The following is a 21,095-nucleotide window of genomic DNA, read 5'->3' as shown; positions in this document are numbered from 1 at the left end:
TTAGTAGTGACAGGGTTTCACCATGTTGGCCAGGATAGTCTCGATCTCCTGACCTCGTGATCTGCCCGCCACAGCCTCCCAAAGTGCTGGGATTAAAGGTGTGAGCCACCGCACCTGGCCTGTAGTGACTGGGTTTCACCATGTTGGCCAGGATAGTCTCGATCTCCTGACCTCGTGATCTGCCCACCTCGGCCTCCCAAAGTGCTGGGATTACAGGGGTGAGCCACTGCGCCTGGCCTAGCCCCCTGTCTTGATTATATGCTCAGGGTCCTGGGACCAGGGTCATCCCTGGGTTGAGGGTCCAGGGAGAGGGTCCTAGAGTAGAGGATGCGATGAGGCAGTGGTCCAAGGAGAGCAACTTAGAAAAGGAGAGTGAGAGGCCTGGAGATTACAAAGACCCACACCAAGAGTCTAACAGGAGCTGAGAGAGAGGAGGCCAGTCCCTCAGTTCGGGGTCCAGGACATGTGGGAAGGGGCTGCTTTGTACACACTGCAACCTTCATATTTCCTAGAAATGTACAAGAAACCCTCCATTTGTCTGAGCCAGGGCCCTTAGTGTCCTCGGGAGAGAACTTGACCTTGCAGTGCTACTCAGAGATCTGGTTGGGTACCTTCTGTCTGTCCAAGGACCGGTCACTTGTGCCTCCCCAAAACCATCGATTGAAAGACATGGCCTTACTCTCTCAGGCCAAGTTTACTCCAAGCCCTCTGACTTCAGCCCACAGGGGGACCTACTAGTGCTGTGGTCCACATAGTTCCTCCTTACCCCTATTGTCACACCCCAGTGACCCCTAAAGATTTTGGTCTCAGTACAGGAGCTCCAAGCACCACATCCGTTAAGATTCTAAACCTTAGCATGCATCCCTGTGCTAGGAGAGCCCCGGCCTGGGATAGAAGGAAGGAAAAACAGCAGGGACCAGTCATAGGGCAATCCCATCTCAGAAAGGGATGAAGAAATTCATGAAAGTGGGGGTCATTCTCACTCTCCATGCCTTACCCTACTCGGGGGTCACAGAAGGTGCTGGGTGAGTGGAATGAGAAGATTTGAAAAGGTAGGGGGCCAACCTTTGAGCAAAAGAGATGAAGCTGAGGAACAGAGCAAGAGGCACCACAACCCCACCTACTCCTTCTGTCCCTGCCCCAAACAGTCTGTGGGATCTGCAGCTCCTCACCCTCATGGACTCACTTCATGTTGGCTGAGCAACAAGGTCCTCACAGACTACAGGAGTCACAGTCTCCGGCAGCTCTGGGCTGAGTTTCTCAGCTTATTCTTCTGCCCTTGAAGTCTTTACAGAAGAGGTTGTTTCCAGAGAGCCTGGGAAGAAAGGTAGAGATGAAGGGAGGGAGCCTTATTTTCCAAGCAGCATTGAGGTATTTTGTTCCTGCTGGGTGGTCAGTATGAGGTGAAATGTGTAAAGAAAAAGATGAGCATAAGGATAGGAAAAATAGACACTGTGGATTACTAGAGGGTGGAAGAGGGTTAAAAACTACTTATTGGGTATTATGCTCACTAGTTGGGGGATGTGATCCGTACTCCAAACCTCAGCATCAAGCAATATTCCCATGTAAGAAATTTGTACTTGTACTCCCTGTGTCTGAAATAAAAGTTGGAAGGAAGGAAGAGAAAGAAAGAAAGAAAGAAAGAAAGAAGGGAAGAAGGAGAGAAAGAAAGAGAAAGAAAGAAAGAAAGAAAAGAAGAGGAGAGAGAGAAAAGAAAGAAAAAGAGAGAAAGAGAGAAAAGAAAGAAAGAAAGAAAGAAAGAAAGAAAGAAAGAAAGAAAGAAAGAAAGAAAGAAAGAAAGAAAGAAAACGAACAAGAGGTCCAGCTGAAGTGGAGAGAGGAGTGGACCCTATTCCTTGCCCCTGTCCATGGTGCTGATTCCTAGGGATTGCAAAGATGCCCCAGGCACCTGTGGAATCAGGTCCGCAATCAGAAGAGCAGACTAAAAGGTCCCTCTTATTCTGTAGGACAAGTGGGTGGGTAAGCTCTTATTGTGAAGGACAAGTGGGTGGGTAATTCACAGAAAGTCATAGCTTGAAGTGGAGATGGCTCAGCCACTCTAAGATAGACGCCTTTAGCAAACTCTATCTAAATCTGGGATAGTACTCTTCCATCCATCAAAGGCAGAATGCCATCCTTGTTTCCAAAAGGTATCTCAGTTCTAAACTTCTGTACCAGTAACTTCCTGGGAAAGAACGTATCAGAATTCACTTTTTCTGTGACTCCTGTCTACTCTGGACATATTTTGTCTCTACCATTAACTGTTTTCATCCTGTGGAGGTAGGAATAAAAGCAAGATAGCAGTTTTCTGATTAGATTTCCATAATCATCAGGTTGTCACCCTGGCAGGAGAAACCACAACACTGAGTACTTGAAAGATAACCTCTCCTGGGTTTGAAACTTCCTGTACAGTGGCGTGATCTCTGCTCACTGCAACCTCCGCCTCCCAGGCTCAAGCGATTCTCCTGCCTCAGCCTCTTGAGTAGCTGGGATTACAGGCATGCACCACCATTTCCGGCTAATTTTGTATTTTTAGTAGAGACGGGGTTTCACCATGTTGGTCAGGCTGGTCTTGAACTCCTGACCTCAAGTGATCCACCCACCTCGACCTCCCAAAGTGCTGGGATTACAGGTGTGAGCCACTGCACCCGGCCACATATCTCCTTATTCTAGTTATTCTCAGAGAGTATTCTGTATATGTATATTTCTCTCCATCCAATGATTTGAGATTGATGGTTTTATTGTAGATAGGTTTTTTTCTCATTTTATGTCTTTATTGATTTTTACTTAATTTATTGCACATCTGTGAATACAGATCTATGTTACTTCACAGCACTTATTAAATTTCCTCATAATCAAATAAGTCTTGTCCACACTAGGAAACTTTCTGCATATTTGTTGAATACTTCAATCAGCTGATCCTATATTGAATAATATTATTTTTCTGGATCTTCATATAATGACCACTTTGTCATTTTTTCATTTTTCCAAACCTGTCACATCCTCAAAGACATTTTCCATGACAAAGTGGGTTAAGTGATTCTTGCCCACCTGTATTCTCTAATAGTCCTTGTATTAGGTTGACACACATTCGAGATCTCTAGGTAGCTTAATTTTTTTGTCCATGTATCCATCTGCACATGTTGTTTTCTAATTTATCTCCTTAAAATTTTTTGCTTTTTTCTCATGAGTTTCTACATTGAATTAACAATGGGAGATTTTTTTCACTGTAGTATTTCTTGCTCCTGGAAAAGAGGCTTGGATGCGGCCCGGCATGGTGGCTCACACCTGTAATCCTAGCACTTTGGGAGGCCGAGGTGGGTGGATCACCTGAGGTCAAGAGTTCGAGACCAGCCTGACCAACATAGAGAAACACTGTCTCTACTAAAAATACAGTATTAGCCAGGTGTAGTTGTGCATGCCTGTAATCCCAGCTACTCAGGAGGCTGAGGGAGGAGAATCGCTTGAATCGGAGGCAGAGGTTGCGGTGAGCCGAGATTGCACCATTGCACTCCAGCCTGGACAACAAGAGCAAAACTCTGTCTCAAAAAAAAAAAAAAGGCTTGGATTCTAAAATCATTCTCTCATTCATCGCAAAACAGGACAGATGAGTGGACCCAATCATTAAAAGTGAGGCAGTGATTATTACTTTTAATAGTAGTAGTATTAAGCTACACTGGACCACAGAGATAATTAGATGAGGCAGAACAATAGAAAAGGCAGTGACAGCCTTTAGCTCTGTTGTACCCTGGACTCTGGTACAATCTAGAGTCCCACATACGCATCTCTGAATTCTGTATTGACAGATGAAGAGTTACTAGAGGTATTTACCTTAAGGGGTTAAGCACGGGTTTACCTAATATGGGAACAAATTGAAGATGAGAAAGGAGCACAGTTAAGTATTCCTGTATCTTTGAATTCCTTTTTTCTGTCACTGAGTTGTGGTTGCAAAACTAAACTCTTAATATCCCCCAAACCGAGAGGTTGGTGGTGACCTCAATGAGGCCCAAGAACTTGAACAAATTTGAGGAAGGAAATCATACAGTGCTCCATCTGAGGTGGGAGTTGAGGTTAGCAAGGATGGTTACACAATTCTCCCATGAGAAGGGAAGAGAGGTCCAGGCGCGGTGGCCCCAGCACTTTGGGAGTCCAAGGCAGGTGGATCATCTGAGGTCAGGAGTTCGAGACCAGCTTGACCAACAAGGTGAAACACTGTCTCTACTAAAAATACAAAAATTAGCCAGGCATGGTGGCAGGCCCCTGTAGTCCCAACTACTCTGGAGGCTGAGACAGAAGAATTGCTTGAACCTGGGAGGCAGATGTTGCAGTGAGCTGAGATTGCACCACTGCACTCCAGCCTGGGCAATGGAGCAAGACTCCATCTCAAAAAAAAAAAAAAAAAAAAAAAAAAAAGAGGGAAGAGAGTTGTTATGAAGGAGCCAAGACAGGGGAGCAGGAGTAGAATGGCCCCAGCTGCTCTAATCCTCCCATGCTCTTATTCGTAGGAGTCCTTGATCCTCTCAACCAGCATCCACCAAGTATAGTTTCAAAGTCAGGAGTAACTACGACTTCTCTTTCAGGAGTGTGAATGTGTAAACACCCATCCAGGCTCCCAATGTGGGTGCAGCCTGTCTAGCCCCCAGTGAATGCCCTGTTCTGTCTACTGACCATGCCCCTTCAGACTATGCAATGGAGAATCTCATTCCAATGACCATGCTGGCTTGATCCTGGCGGTCTCTAGGGGATGATCTTTCAGGCTCAGCACAGCCAGAGAAGGCCCCCAAAGGCCGCCAACATGGAAAGTCAAGATGATTTTGGATTGACTCTTCAGTTTGGAGAACTTTGAAAAATCTGCATCAGAAAAGCTGTGCTGGCCCTAGAAGAATCTGGGAGAGCTGGAGGCACGTGCTGTGTGAACGCTGTGCTGAAGGATTGAAGATGACTACTATTTCTTTTAGGTGAAGGATATGCAAGAAGAAGTTAACCTAACAGTGATGAGGATGCTAACTTTAGAAGGACTTGTTTGTGAGCTTGATTCTTGGTTGGCATCTAGGAACTTGCTTCTAGCATGTCCCCTGTGTTACTAAGAGACAACGTGAGGTTGTGTGCCTGCGGCACTGAATTCTGCTGTTATGTCTTCACTAGGCTGTTTCTGTAAACAGTGTAATTCATGGCGAACACCCGGTTTCCTCTGGTTTCTCTGTAGCTGCTCATTATGCCTATGTGGTCCCCACCTAATAACAATCTTGAACATTGAGTCTCAAGCAGATTTGCCTGGGGCCAACACTGCACATGTGTTGCTGCATTTTATGCTGGTGGAATGAACAAGTTAAGACACAGGTTTGCACAACTTATAACCAACATCATTTTTCTTTTATTTTCTTTCTTATTTCCATAGGTTTTTGGGGAACGTGGTGTTTGGTTACTTGCAGAAGTTCTTTAGTGATGATTTCTGAGATTTTTGTGCACCCATCACCCTAGTAGTATACATTAAACCCGATTTATAGTCTTTTATCCCTCACCTCCTCCCTCCCTTTCCCCCGAGTCCCCAAAGTCCATTGTAGCATTCTTATGCCTTTGCATCCTCATAGCTTAGCTCCCACTTAGGAATGAGAACATAAAATATTTGGTTTTTCATTCCTGAATTTCTTCACTTAGAATAATAGTCTCCAATTTCATCCAGGTCACTATGAATGCCATTATTTTGTTCCCTCTTATGGCTGAGTAGTATTCCACAGTGTATATATATTTGTGTGTGTGCGTGTATACATATATATATGTATATATGTGTGTGTATATATGTATATATGCGTATATATGTGTGTATATGTATATATATGTGTATATGTATAGATGTATATATGTGTGTGTGTATGTGTGTATATATATATGACAATTGCTTTATCCGCTTGTATAATCAACATTATTTTTCTCAAATGTATTTTGGCAAATAAAATATTTTCCAAAAAGTGAAAAAAAAGTTACTCTTATATAACGATGGCCTAAGATACCACCTACTGATGAAAGTGAGGTGGCAATTTTGGATTAACGGGCATCACAGGCAACTACATAGATCCTCTCAGCAAACATACATGAGGAAAACCAAAACCAACCAGACAGCCAGAACCGGAATTAAAAACTAGTCCTTCGACTGGGCGTGGTTGCTCACGCCTGTAATCCTAGCACTTTGGGAGGGCGAGGCGGGCGGATTGCCTGAGCTCAGGAGTTCAAGACCAACCTGGGCAACATGGAGAAACCCCATCTCTACTAAAATACAAAAGAAATTAGCCAGGTGCGGTGGCATGCCCCTGTAGTCCCAGCTACTCAGGAAGCTGAGGCAGGAGAATCACTTGAACCCAGGAGATGGTGGTTGCAGTGAGCCAAGATTGTGCCACTGCACTCCAGCCTGGGCAACAGAGTGAGACTCTGTCAAAAAAAAAAAAAAAAGGAAAGAAGAAAGAAAGAAAGAAAGAAAGAAAGGGGGGGGGAGTGAGGGAGGGAGGGAGGGAGGGAGGAAGGAAGGAAGGAAGGAAGGAAGGAAGGAAGGAAGGAAGGAAGGAAGAAGGAAGGAAGGAAGGAAGGAAGGAAGGAAGGAAGGAAGGAAGGAAGAAGGAAGGAAGGATTTCTACTCATGACTGTGATAATCTGTGTATTTAAGCAATATTATATGTACAATTTCTTAGTGCTCAGGGTAGATGAGGATTCTTGGGTGGGAGCGTCAATTGTCCAACACCCTGATTTTCTCAAATTTACAACCCTATGTCTTACTCTGTCCTGGGAATTAACCATCATTGAGCTCCTTCGAAGTCCCAGTCACCGCCGACCCCCACGACCCCTCTGATGAGTGGGGTGTGTAACAACTTGCTCCACACAAGGAAACTGAGGCTCAGAGAAGGGGTTGTGAAGGCTCAAGGTCACATGGGCAGCAGATAATGAGCAATCATTAAGTAAAAATCAGCTCCCCATCCCAACAGGTGAGTTCCCCTCAGGGAAACAAAGGACACTGAAGACTCAGGAGTGGATCACAAGTCTGTTTCCAAGGAGACGAAGGTGGATACTGCTGCTAAGAGAAAGGGAAAGTCCATGGAGGGCACGGGTTGATAGAGCAAACTGGCAGTGTTGGATACAGGTCGTGTTCTCTACCCATATTTCCTGTGTTTCTCCATTGCGCTCATTGCCACAGTGCAGCTCAACTTGAACTACACAGCCTGATGTCAGATGCGTCTCTGCTGACCTGAGTCTGCCCTGCACCATGGACCTGCATTTTCCCTGAAGCATCTCCACGACGGATGAGATGACTGGCCATGGTAAGGACCCCACAACCCCGTGCTGATAGACAGGATGAAGGAGTAAAGGAGACCCCATGTGGAGGCTCTGAGAGGGGAAGAGAAGCCCTCAGTTACCCTCACCTGGAAGAGGCTCACTCAGGGAGGCCCTGGGCCCATTTTTCTACTACATCCTAGCCCTCAATAAGATGAGGAAAGATCCTGCAGCCAGTAGCCAAGGATCAGGGGGAGCCCATTTCTGTCTGAAATGTCTTCAGGAAACCTGGTGCTCACTCCCACCTCAGCCCTGGGGAAATGAGAGCCAGGCTTCTGCAGTTCCCCTTCCTGTGGGGCTGCTGATGGGACAACCCCATGACAGGGAGAACCCAGCCTTTGAGTGTGTCTGTCTGTCCTCCTGGACACCATGGTTTCATCCATCTGTACAGCTGGGGCCAGTGGGAGGAGATGCCGTGACTCCCACCCTCACAACCCTACTCTGACTTGGTGAGATTTCAAGAGGAGAAGGGGCACCCTAGTCTTGAAGGGACTTCACTCCACAGCCAAGCCCTGGTCTATCAGGAAATCTCAGGGGTCAGGATGCTCCCAGGCAGGGGAGGACCTGCTCAGGCTTCAGGGGCAAATCTCTCACAGGGAACTCTCTTCCAGGGCTGAGTCTGAGCTTCAGGACCCATGTGCAGGCAGGTGAGTCTGTCCCCAGCAGTCCCAGGTCGCTCCTGCTCACTGGGGACAACGGGCCACCCCCAGCCACCTGGGGATGGAGAACAGCATCTCTGAGCTGACTGATGGGGACATCTGGGCGGGTCTTGGGACTGACAGCTGGGATTTGAGGAATGCATTAGTATCTTGGGACCCAACCTGTGATTTCATTTCAAGGCTCCTCACTAAACCCACCACCTGGACTGAGCCAGACTGTGTGATCCCTGGGAGGAGGCCTGTGACCACCTGGTGTCAGGGTACCCTGGAGCCCCAAGAGCACCAGCTGGATAAAGAGGGAAGCTCAGTGTCACAGAACATTAAGGAAACCACTGGGGCCTGGGAACAAGACCAGGACCCATATCTCACACAAGCCAGAGCACAATGCAGAGAACTGTCACTGTTATTATCAAAGTGCCACAGGCCGGTCAGGGCACAGTGACCCCCCTGGTGCTGGTGGTGACAGGTGAGAGGACACTCAAGGCGCCCAGCCGCAGGCTCTGTCCTCAGGAAGGGGGTCACTTGCGCCCTGACTTTACTGTCTTTTAGGGATGTCCCATAAAGGGGCAGAAGTGCTGAAGCTCTCAACCTCTGGGTGGCGTCTGCATATCGTGCAGAACCATCTGCAAACCAGGCTTGAGTCTTCACTTTCTCTGTCAACGGAGCATAGAGAAATCCCCATGAGATTATAGGTGCAGGCTGGAAGGCAGAAGGTTGTGTAGCAGGGACAGGAACCATGGGCATTTGGCCCCCTGCTTTGTGTAAATTGCTCACACTTTCAGGGCCTGAGTGGACATGATCTTATTATACAGCTTGCATCGGCTAACACACACTTCACATTTCATGGTACCTTGGTGACCTGTGCCCAAGCATCCAGTCTCTCCTAAGGCTCAATAATGGAAAAAAATATAATATTTTCCTTTTTTTTTTTTTTTTGAGATGGAGTCTCACCCTTCTTGCACAGGCTAGAGTGCAGTGGCATGATCTCGGCTCACTGCAATCTCCGCCTCCTGGGTTCAAGCGACTCTCCTGCCTCAGCCTCCCAAGTAGCTGGGATTACAGGCAGGTGCCACCATGCCCGGCTAATTTTTTTATTTTTAGTGGAGACAGGGTTTCACCATGTTGGCCGGGCTGGTCTCGAACTCCTGACCTCAGGTGATCTGCCCACCTTGGTCTCCCAAAGTGCTGGGATTACAGGCATGAGCCACTGTGCCCGGCAAAAAAAAATATATGTTTTTCAAAAGGAGACTAGCTATCTGTGAATGATGATAGGATTTTGCTCCACAATCCTAAGTGTCTAAGCCCCAATTCACCTATAGGAAGGAGCTTGTCAAAACCTCCAAACAGCATCTCGATCTGCCACTGACACTTCAAGCACCATCTGTTCCACTGGATCATATGGCCCAGGTGGCAGAAGAGCTTGTGCAGGACCTGGATCTGTTGCAGAGCCTTCCCCTATTCCACACCCCACTCAAAACTTTTTTTTTTTTTTTGAGATGGAGTCTCACAGTGTTGTCCAGGCTGGAATGCAATGGGACAATCTCGGTTCACTGCAACCTCCATCTCCACTGTTTTAGAATCTGCTGTCTTTCTTTTTTTTTGTTTTTTTTTTGAGACGGAGTCTCGCTCTGTCTCCCAGGCTGGAGTGCAGTGGCGCGATCTCGGCTCACTGCAACCTCCATCTCCCGGGTTCACGCCATTCTCCTGCCTCAGCCTCCCGAGTAGCTGGGACTACAGGCGCCCGCCACCACGCCCGGCTAATTTTTTATATTTTTAGTAGAGACAGGGTTTCACTGTGTTAACCATGATGGTCTCGATCTCCTGACCTTGTGATGTGCCCGCCTCAGCCTCCCAAAGTGCTGAGATTATAGGCGTGAGCCACCGCGCCCGGCTGTGTTTGGATGTTTTAAAGCACAGTGGCCCGAGGGAAACTGACTGGGCGGCTCCCTGTGGCATGGGAAACCCGGGGGAGGTCAGCGGGGGCTACAGTGCAGCCCAGCTCTGGGCCTGGGGGGTTCATGTCCAATGTTGTCCAATCACTGGATAATTCTGACATCTAACTAAACCTCTTTTATAGGAAAAAGAGATGCTTTAAAATTGTTAATTTAAATTTAAATCAGAAGAGGGCAATTTGGTAATAAGTTAATATGAAATACAATGAATATACCCAAACCAGTAGCTTTCTCATGGGTACTTACCTCTTGTTTAAAAAATATAAAGGAATCAAATACTTCACTTATAAGTTGTCAAAGGTGTTGAATAATTTGTCATATGAGTTACCTCTGAATATGTCTCTTCTCCTCTGTTTTGATTCTCAGGAGCAGCTGAGACCCTCAGCCCACCACAAAACAAGTCCGACTCCAAGGCTGGTGAGTGAGGAGATGCTTGCCGTGATGACGCTGGGCACAGAGGGTCAGGTCCTGTCAAGAGGAGCTGGGTGTCCTGGGTGGACATTTGAAGAATTATATTCATTCCAACTTGAAGAATTATTCAACACCTTTAACAATGTATATGTGAAGTACTTTATTCTTTCATATTTTAAAAATAAAAGATAATTATCCATGAGAAAGCTACTCGTTTGAGTATATTCATTGTATTTCATGCTAACTCACTACCAAATTACCCCATTCTAATTGCTTTTCTATGGATCTCCTCTAATTTCCTGATGAAATGTATACAAACCATGAGACAATGGAGATTTTACTTATTTCTATATTGCTTGCCAATATTTCTCACTTCAAATATCAATATGTATGTAACTACATCTTAAATATCTAAAGTTTTACATCTATACATATTTATGTGTGGTTATATAAGTTACATTTGAATATGTGTGTAAGTATTTCCAAGTTCACTTGATAAATATATCCATATTCTTAATATATTTGATGGCCAGGCGCAGTGACTCATGCCTGTAATCCCAGCACTTTGGGAGGCCAAGGCGGGCAGATCACCTGAGGTCAGGAGTTTGATACCAGCCTGGCCAACATGGTAAAAGCCCATCTCTACTAAAAATACAAAAAAAAATTAGCCAGGCATGGTGGTGCGGCCCTGTAGTCCCAGATACTAGGGAGGCTGAAGCACAAGAATCACTTGAACCCGGGCGGCAGAGGTTGCAATGAACCGAGATAGTGCCACTGCACTCCAACCTGTGCGACAGAGTGAGACTCCATCTCAATAAAAATAAAAATAGGCCGGGCACAGTGGCTCATGCCTACAATCTCAGCACTTTGGGAGGCCGAGGTGGGAGGATCATGAGGTCAGGAGTTCGACACCAGCCTGGCCAACATGGTGAAACCGCCATCTCTACTAAAGATACAAAAAAAGTAGCTGGGCGTGGCGGCGTGCACCTGTAATCCCAGCTACTCGGGATGCTGGGGCAGGAGAATTGCTTGAACCCAGGAGACGGAGCTTGCAGTGAGCCGAGATCACACCACTGCACTCCAGCCTGAGCAACAGAGCAAGACTCTGCCTCAATAAATAAATAAATAAATAATAAAAATAATAAATAAATAAATAAGACATTTGATGTGGTAGGAGTTTACATGTTTGTTACTGGTCTAGATTCACCTAGATTCACACTTTGTAAAAGCAGAAATACTGATTTATGAACCTCTAATAGCACCACTATTTAGCAGACAGATATTTTTGGATGGGGGCCGGGGGGAAGGTATCACATCATTCTAGGTTTTCCTGATTATATGAAGAATTAGTTAATTAGATTAATTGGACAATGAAAACCCAGGTGAAGGGGAGGCAGCCCCAGACTTTCACCGCTTTGTGCTTCTGACATTCGGGAGCCCCTGAGGACCAACCCCTCATCCAGGGAGCCTGGGTCCTCAGCTGGTGGATCCGTGAAACTCTCATCTCCGGGGGAATTGGCTCATGTGCTCCCGTGTCCCAGGCTGCACAGACAGCACACAGGGCTCAGTGACCTCTGTACTGGGGACCACTTTCCTTGCAGATCCTGAGCCCTCAGGGTGAAGGAAAACTCTCCCCCAAATGACTCAAGAGCAACATTTGGATTTGTAGAAAGCAGGAAAGCTGAAATAATTCATTAAGAAGAACGGAACGAACACTGCTACAGAGGAAGAGTTTACTAAGGAACTCCTTAGAACTCATGTCAGGAGACAGGGGAAGATAAGAATGCCGAGCCCATGGGAGAGGCTGGCTCAGGGTACTTCTCCTTTGCTTTGATTCTCAGGAGCAGCTGATACCCTCAGCCCATCACAAAACAATTCAGACCCCAAGACTGGTGCGTGAGGAGATGCTTTCAGTTATGGGGCTGGCACAGAGGGTCAGGTCCTGTGAAGGGGAGGTGGGTGCCCTGGGTGGACATCCAGAGGTCCTGGGTGATGTTGATCTGCCCTGACCTCTGTGGTCTCTTTGCCCACCATCCCCAACCTCACACCCCCAGGATTACACAGTGGAGAATCTCATCCACATGGGCAAGGCTGGCTTGATCCTGGTGGTCCTCAGGATTCTGTTATTTGAGGCTCAGCACAGCCAGAGAAGCCCCTAAGATGCAGCTAGGAGGTGAACAGCAGAGAGGACAATGCATCTCTCAGAGTGGTGAAACCTTGGGAATAGATATGGTGATCCCAGGAGGTTCCGGGAGACAATTTAGGGCCAATGCTATCTGGACTGTCTGCTGATAATTTCTAGAAGGAGGAATCAGTGTTGGATTGCAGAGATATTTTGCAGGGTGATCCATGGAGGACCATTAACATGTGATACCTTTCCTCTCTATTAATGTTGACTTCCCTTGGTTGGATCCCCTTCTTTTCCCACCCCTAGACATGAGGCTACATCCCACATGGCAGGGCTGGATCCACACCTCTGCACATCTGTGTGCTCTGGTCCATGGTGTGTAACACAGTCTTCTTTATTCCTCATTGCCATACTCCCTGGTGTGCTTTATTGAGCCTCCATCTCTTCAGTTCAGAGTTCCAAACGTGCTTCAGTAACTAAATCAATGGGAGAGTATCAGATTTCAACCAGGAAAAGATAAATCCACCCTGATGCCCTGACACCCTCTCCAAACCCTACAAGCCCTTCCCTCCTTCTCAGATGCTACCTGTGTATCTTCTCCTCAGATCACTGTGTAACCATCACTGCCATCCTGTTCCACACATTGTCATCATCCTACACCCATTCAGCAGCCACTCCCCATTCCCTCTTCCCTCCAGCACCTGCTAACCACAAGTGTGCTTTCTGTCTCTACGGATTTGCCTATTCTGTCTGAAAACATTTCAATCTCCTTTGACCTGTGAGCTCCTCACTTCGAGACTTCCTGCCTTTCCAGGCAGAACCAAAGTACACCACGTCAAAAGCAATGATAGGCATTTGCAGTGTGTTGGTGATCCACGAAAGGAAAATCACGGAAGTAGGATAGAAATCCAGCTGCAGACAAGACCTCAGGTCGATGAATCTTGTCAAGCAGTTGAGCTGTTTCTTTCTACTCACCTATGACAGTCAGACAGAAGTATGCAAAATGACTGGGGCTGATTCTTTTCTGAATTGTCCCAAACAGCAAGAGGACTTGAGTCCTAGCATTAAAGAGTTCAACATATCTAGGTCCAAGACGACTGTTGTGTTTGAAGGATGTAAAGCTTTGCTGTATAGGATAGAATGTTTGGAGGGAGGATCCTGAGAAAACATGAAGGACCAAATATTCACAATCTACTCTCTAGAATAAAGAAATCTTATCATTCACCATCTACCCTCTAGAGTAAACAAATCTTATCATTTGCCGTCTACCCTCTAGAGTAAAGAAATCTTATCGTTCGCCAGTTACCCTCTAGAATAAAGACATCTTATCATTCACCATCTACCCTCTAGAATAGAGAAATGTTATCATTCACCATCTACCCTCTAGAATAAAGAAATCATATCATTCACCATCTAACCTCTAGAATAAAGAAATCTTATCGTTTGCCATCTACCCTCTAGAATAAAGAAATGTTATCATTTGCCATCTACCTTCCAGGATAAAGAAATCTTATTAAGGACATTTTCAAAGCCTTAACAGAATATGAATGATTACAATATTATGTTTTACCTATACAGCGTCTTCCAAGTTCTAGTTTGGTTGTGCCAGGCCAAACATTTGAGCCAGATTTCGGCAAGATCAAGCAGGAGACTCTGGCATCTGTCGCTGATTACCTTCCCACCATACCCGGCCACCAGCCTTTCCCATGGACCCCCACATGTGTCTCCAGACTCTCGGGTACGAATCCTGTGAACACACTGACCTCCGCCTTCTGCATGACTGATCAGCAATATGAAATTTGCATAAACACAAATAGAAAATATACTGTCCCCACATTCCCTAAAATAAAACTGGGTCCTCGCCCATGGGCTTTTGCTGGATTATACTAACAAAAGGCAGGTCTTATAACACACATTCCATAGACTCACATCTCAGAGAATGTTGGTTCCACAGGCTCAGGATCCTGAACACACTGCTCCACTCTCAGGGCTCAGAGACATTCTGCATGTGGGTCTTCACCCCATTCGGGAGCCCTAATTCCTTCTTCCTCGGTTTTTCATACAGTGATTTTTCCCAGTCATCTTTAATACCTTCTTTTTTTAAAAAAATAAATAAAGATGAGTCTCACTATTTGCCCTGGCTGGTCTTGAACTCCTGGGCTCAAGTGATCCTCCCCGCTCAGCCTGCAAATCCCTTCATGCCCAGCCCTTACAACTTCATTAAAACACAAAATTTTAGTTTTTATTTCTAAAACTTTTTGGATTATGTTACATTTTGTTGAATATTAATATTTCCAATAGATATTTTACTAGTATACCTTTCTTCACTTACTGATTGTAAATTATCATTTCATTTTAGATGGTACTATTGTGTTTCATGCCTAGGTGTGATTGGGGTACTGGGCTATTTAACTTATCCTTCAGTGGATGAATTACTCTTTTACATACAGGATTAAAAAAAAAGAAAAATTTGGAATAACTTCACCTATTTAGTTAAGTATTCACTCAATTATATATTTTCGAATGAGGATTCATTTATCCTTGCCTTTAGAGAAGACACGTTCTAATTCCACTGTAGCTGAACTCTGAGTACTCACATGTGTACATGCACACTGACTCATACATGTGTGCCCGTGTGTGGTTGCATTCATGTGGGCATGTCTGTGTGTGATTTTCAAATACTTGCCTGTTTCTCACTTACATCACTGTGGCATCTCATATTCTACATTTTGGATTCATTGATTCTTTTTTTTTTTTTTTTTTGAGACGGAGTCTTGCTCTGTCGCCCAGGCTGGAGTGCAGTGGCACAATCTGCGCTCACTGCAAGCTCCGCCTCCCAGGTTCACACCATTCTCCTGCCTCAGCCTCCCGAGTAGCTGGGACTATAGGCGCCCACCACCACGCCCAGCTAATTTTTTTGTATTTTTAGTAGAGACGGGGGTTTCACCGTGTTAGCCAGGATGGTCTCGATCTCCTGACCTCGTGATCCGCCCTCCTCGGCCTCCCAAAGTGCTGGGATTACAGGCGTGAGCCACCGCGCCCGGCCGGATTCATTGATCTTCCAACTGGATGATATCATTTAAAATTGCCTTCACTGAGCATGAAAACAGTAATATCTAGTAACTTGCAGCTCAGAAAATGCCTTCTTTTTCCTCCCACTCTCTCTATCAAAATAGATGAAAACATTTCTGTATTAGTTAAAGGGTAAGTATAACACCTGGAAGAGAAAGCACATCTGATGATTTGAGAGATCCACCCTCCAATCCCTCCTCAGCCCTCACGAAGGGGAAGCCCAACCAGACAGCTTCACAGGTCCGTCTTGCCCTGAGCCTTCTTCTGTTTAGGAATTGGTCCCCTGCTGACCCCTTTACCTTTCAGGTATTAACCTGAGTAAGTATAGAATTCCTCACTTGCAGTTAGTCCCCTGAGAGTACTCTCTTAGCATCTCCTTCCCTTATCTTTTTACTATCGGGAAGTCCAGTCCCACTGAGAAGCAATGCTATTGACATGTTGAGTTGAAAATCACAAAACACAAAAATGCATTTTAAATTACATAATTCAGTCTAGCATATGTATTTTTTAATTTACTCCTATTTTTCAGTTTATCATGAGAGGTCAAGATTTGCATTTTGGCCAGGCGCGGTGGCCCACCCCTGTAATCCCAGCACTTTGGGAGGCGGAGGCAGGCGGATCAGGTGAGGGCAGGAGTTTGAGACCAGCCTGGCCAACGTGGTGAAGCCCCATCTTTACTAAAAATACAAAAATTAGCCGGGTGTGGTGGTGCGTGCTTGTAGTGCCAGCTACTCGGGAGGCTGAGACAGGAGAATCGTTTGAACGCGGGAGGTGGAGGTTGCGGTGAGCTGAGATTGTGCCACTGCACTCCAGCCTGGGCGACAGAGTGAGACTCTGTCTCGAAAAAAAAAAAAAAAAGATTTGCATTTCATGCTTAAATGTATGCACACTAGTGACTTAATTACTTCCTCCCTGAAGACCCCAATGGCACCAGACACAAATGCTCTGTCAGTTTTAATTTTCTCTTTAATGCAGGCGCTTCTCCTTCTGACAAGCTTTCATTTCTCATTTTCTGGACATGACTGTGATAACGGGGGTGTTGATGAAATATTATGAGAAGCATCTCTCAAGGGCAGGAACAAAGGGGCTCTCCTTAGTGGAAACATCAATCTCAGGCCTTGATGGTGGGCGCCAGCATCCCTTCATGCCCCCACCCCTCCTGTCTTCACCTGCTCTGGAAATTACCCATGGCTGAGCCCCCTGCAGTCCCCAGGCTCCAATGACCCAGCTCCCCTGTGATAAATGGGGTTCATCACAGGCTCCAAATGAGGAAACCGAGGCTCAGAAATGGGAGGTTACTGCCCAAGGTCACACAGGCAGGGGGTGACACATGAATATTTAAATAAAGACAAGATTTCCCCTCAAAGCAGAGTGCTAACCCCACGTATTGTCCCAGAACCTTGAACTCAGGAGCACAGGATGGGAACAGGAGTGTTTGAAAGAAGACAGGGGCACCAAGAAGGCAGAGTCAGGTCAATGTTGTTTCCAGGGAGACGGGGGCAGATGCTGTTGCGATGAGTGAATGAGAAGTTCGTGAAGGGAACGTTTTTGCATAAAGAAAACCCACACTCCAGTTCTGGGGAAAGAGTCATGATTCCTTCCCTTGTCTCCATGTATTTCCCTTTTCTGTTCATCGCCACAATAAAGCTCAACTGGAACTGCACAGCAAGATGCGAGATGAGTCTCTGCTGATGTGAGTCTGCCCCGCAGCCTGAATTTGCATCTTCCCTGAAGCTTCCCCAGGACTGGTGAGAAGACTGGCCATGGTAGGTTCCCCACAAGGGTGTGTTTATGGGTGAGCTGAAGGAGAGAGGGAAACCCCACGAGGAGTCTCTGAGAGGAAGGAAGAACCCTCCGTTGCCTTCACCTGGAAGGGACCAACTCAGGAAGGCACCACGTCCATTTGCAGCTACGTCCCGGCCCTCAATGAGACGAGGACATGTCAGGCAGACAGTGAAAGGAGATCAGGAGAGATGCCATGCGTGTCTGAAATATCAGCAGAAAGCCTGGTGCCTGTCTCAAAGGATGGTTCAATATATGCAAGTCAATAAAGGTGACTCACGACATAAACTAAGAACAAAAAGCATGTGATAATCTCAAGCGATGCAGATAAAGCATTCGAGAAAGGCCAAGTCCTGGGAAAACATGAGCCAGCGGGGTCCGGGACAGCTCACCACCCATGGAGATGCTGGTGGGAAAATCCTGTAAGTGGGAGTAAGGAAGGAGACCACTACTACTCCTGCTGCCCTCCTCCCCCCACCTTGCCTAGTTCACAAAACAGGAAGAGAGAAAAAGCCAAAAGTTGGAAAAATACAAAAGTAAGATAAATAGCCAGACAACCTTGGCACCACCACCCGGCCGTAGGAGTTAAAAAAAGTAATAATAATAACATCAACCCCTGACCTAAACTACTGGTGTTATCTGTAAATTCCAGACACTGCATGAAAAAAGCACTGTAAAACTTTTTGTTCTGTTAGCTGATGCATATAGCCCCCCACAGTCATGTTTCCCACGCTTGCTTGATGTATCACGACCCTTTCACGTGGACCCCTTAAAGTTATAAGCCTTTAAAAAGGCCAAGAATTTCTTTTTCGGGGAGTTCGGCTCTTAAGACGCGAGTCTGCCCACGCTCCCAGCTGAATAAAAACCTCTTCCTTCTTTAATCCGGTGTCTGAGGAGTTTTGTCTGCGGCTCGTCCTGCTACAGGAGAGCCCTGCCTCTCTGTGCCATGACTGTCACTCCCATGGCCATGGTCCACTTCACTGAGATTTGACGAGGGGAAAGGGAGATTCTAGCATGAGAGGGACCCTGCCCCACAGATAGGCCCTGGTCCAGTAGGAGACCCCAGGGGCTAGGGAGGATCCCATTCTCATTTTCCTGGGAAAATGTTTTCACTTCTCCCCATTCAATTTGATGTTGGCTGTGGGTTTGTCACGCAGGGGGTGTTGGTATTTTGCGGTATGTTTCTTTCATGCCTAGCCTGTTGAGGGATTTTATCACGAAGCGATGTTGGACTTTCTTGAAAGCTTTATCTGCATCTATAGAGATGATCATATGCTTTTTGTTCTTAGTTCATGTCATGAGTCACTTTTATTGACTTGCATATATTGAACCATCCTTTCTTCCCTGGAATCAAGCCAACTTGATCATGATGAATTATGTTTTTGATACACTGTTAGATTCCGTTTGCTAGTATTTTCTTGAGGATTTTTGCATCTGTGTTCCTCAGATTTCTTGGCCTGTAGTTTTATTTTTCTGTTGGATCCTTGTCTGATTTTGCTATCAGGATGATACTGATTTTGTAAAATGAGCTGGCAAAGAATCCCACTTCCTTGATTTTTGGAATACTTTCAGTATGATTGGTACCAGCCCTCCTTCGTACATACAGCTAAGTTCAACTGCGAATCCATCTGTTCCTGGACTTTTTTGCTGGAAGATTTTTAGTACTGATCCTTTTTCATTGGTTGTTATCGGTCTGTTTAGAGTTTCTATTTTTTGCCTGTGCAATCTTGGGAAGTTGTGTGTGTCTAGGAATTCATCTATTTTCTCCAGGTTTTCTAGTTTATGTGCATAAAGGTGTTCATAGTAGTCTCTGATGATCTTTTGTATCTCTGTGGTGTTGGTTGTAATGTCAACTTTATCATTTCTGATTGTGCTTATTTAAATCTCCTTTTTTTGGTTAGTGTAGTCAGCCATCTCTCAATTTTATTTATACTTTCAAAAAACCAACGTTTTCTTTCATTGATTCTTTGTAATGTTTTTGTGTCAGTCTCATTCTTTATCTGTCCTTTCAGAGTTTCCATTGTTTTCAGCATCCATCACTAGCGAGCCAGTGCGATCCTTTGGTGGTGCCACAATATTCAGATTTTTCACGGCGTCAGAATCCTTACACTGATTCCTTCTCATCTGGAGAGGCCTCCACTTACTCTCTTCGAATTTATTTTCGTTTGGATGGGATTTCTTTTGCACATTTTCCCCCAGCCCCGCAGGGAGGGTGACTGTAGAGCATGTTGGGAAGGGTCTTTTGGCTTTTCCCATGGCTTTGGGAGCTTCTGCAGCAGGGTTTGCATTGGGCTGTGCAGCTCAGATTGCAGGCCAGGAGCTGGTGCTTAAGGGTAAGAGCCACGCTCGGCACAAGCAGGTGGATGTGGACCTGGTGTGTTTCCTGTGAGGTGCTGACTCTTGTTTCAGGGGAAGGGCTGGACCGTGGAGTGTCAGGTGCCCTGAGCTTCCTGTTCCACAGGGGCGAGGGAACACCCCTGGGCAGAGCTGGAACCCCCGGCTTGCCCACAGATATCCCAGTGATGAGTGCAGGCACTAGTCCTGATGGACATGGCTGGAGCAGCTCCTAGTGAAATGCCCTGAGGTCTCTGCGGGGAGTGAAGGAGCTACACCGTTTCCAGTCCCATAGGGAGGAACGTTGTCTGTCTCCCTATCACACCCGTGCTCCAGGGCTCATGAGTCTCAGTTCAGACACACACTCTTGTCTCTCCCCAGGCCACAGTGTGGCTGAGGGCAGTGGGAAACACCTGCCTTGCCACTCTCTGCAGGCGTGGTTCCAAGGCAGAGCCTCCTCCCTCAGCCCAGTGCAGACCCTGAGCGGCTGTCTGTTGTCTGACGCGGTAGCTGCTTCATGTAGGTGGGATGTGGGGCTTCTGCCTCTCTGGATGGGAGAGTGGACGTCAGTTGTGGTGGTGTTGCTGGCTGGGTGGGCCCGACCTCAGGCCCTGGGGTGAGTGGTCAGGTGCCAGCAGGTAGGAAAGGGCAGGTAGTTCCCGGATCACAGGCCCCTAGGTGGCCGGCTGGACAGCGTGTGTGAGTCCTGAAGGGGCTGGACTGGGTTTCGGCTGCTCCGGGGTTCAGATGCTGGCTGTGATGGGGAGGGATGGGCTGGTCCCCAGGTCACCGGCAGAACCTTCAGGCGGGGCAGGCAGAAGGCTCAGGTGGTAGAGCCTGCGGCAGATCACAGGCCTGTGGGGACTGGGCTCTCAGAAGGGCTGGGGGCTGCAGCTGAAATGTCCAGGTGGGGGCAGGGTGGCTGTGCTGTGGGCCTGTCACTAGGGAGGGCAGCGCCCCTCGGCTGGGGCACTGGAGACTGGCAGCTGTGAGGCACAGGGCCCGCTCACACTTCCCTCCTGAAGAAGTGTCACTCGGTTTTGCTCTGGGGACACGTGAAAGTGCCAGGCCTCCCCACACCCTCCCTGGGCCTGGGGCAGCAGGGGCAGAGGCAGAGGTGGCAGTGACTGCAAAGGGCTTGTCAGGGGCCTCTGAGCATTGGGCTTTCAGAGGGCACCGAGCCAGGGCCACGGTGTTCGGGTGGGGGCAGGACGGGTGACTGGGGCCCTGCAGCTGGCAAGCCCCATTAGCAGGAAGGAAGCCCCATTTCGCAGGAAGCAACAGAGGTGGGCAGCTGTGTGGTGCTCAGCTTGGCTGCTCCTGTGCCCCAGCTGTCATACTTATTCTGGGGCCCACAGAGGTGCCTGGCCTCCTCCCTCCCTGCTAAGGCAGTGGCAGCTGGACCCAGGCTGCTCAGGGATCAGAAGCCTGTGGGAT

At 47.0% G+C, this 21,095-nt stretch overlaps 2 annotated features.

Annotated features, from left to right (window-relative positions):
• Positions 1,799–1,999: a silencer, noted in NCBI's record as "peak3552 fragment used in MPRA reporter construct". NCBI's record gives its function as "represses an SCP1 promoter by STARR-seq MPRAs in K562 erythroleukemia cells {active_cell/tissue: K562}" and the evidence as "EXISTENCE:reporter gene assay evidence [ECO:0000049][PMID:32103011]".
• Positions 20,594–21,095: an enhancer, noted in NCBI's record as "H3K4me1 hESC enhancer chr19:54789309-54789810 (GRCh37/hg19 assembly coordinates)". NCBI's record gives its function as "activates a minimal SCP1, AML or CMV promoter by ChIP-STARR-seq in primed H9 embryonic stem cells {active_cell/tissue: H9 hESC(primed)}" and the evidence as "EXISTENCE:reporter gene assay evidence [ECO:0000049][PMID:30033119]".

Source organism: Homo sapiens, chromosome 19 (genome assembly GCF_000001405.40).
Source record: "Homo sapiens chromosome 19, GRCh38.p14 Primary Assembly".
In the NCBI taxonomy this organism is placed as follows: domain Eukaryota; kingdom Metazoa; phylum Chordata; class Mammalia; order Primates; family Hominidae; genus Homo; species Homo sapiens.
Note: the sequence above shows the minus strand (reverse complement) of the source record. Positions and strands in the feature narration are given on the sequence as shown.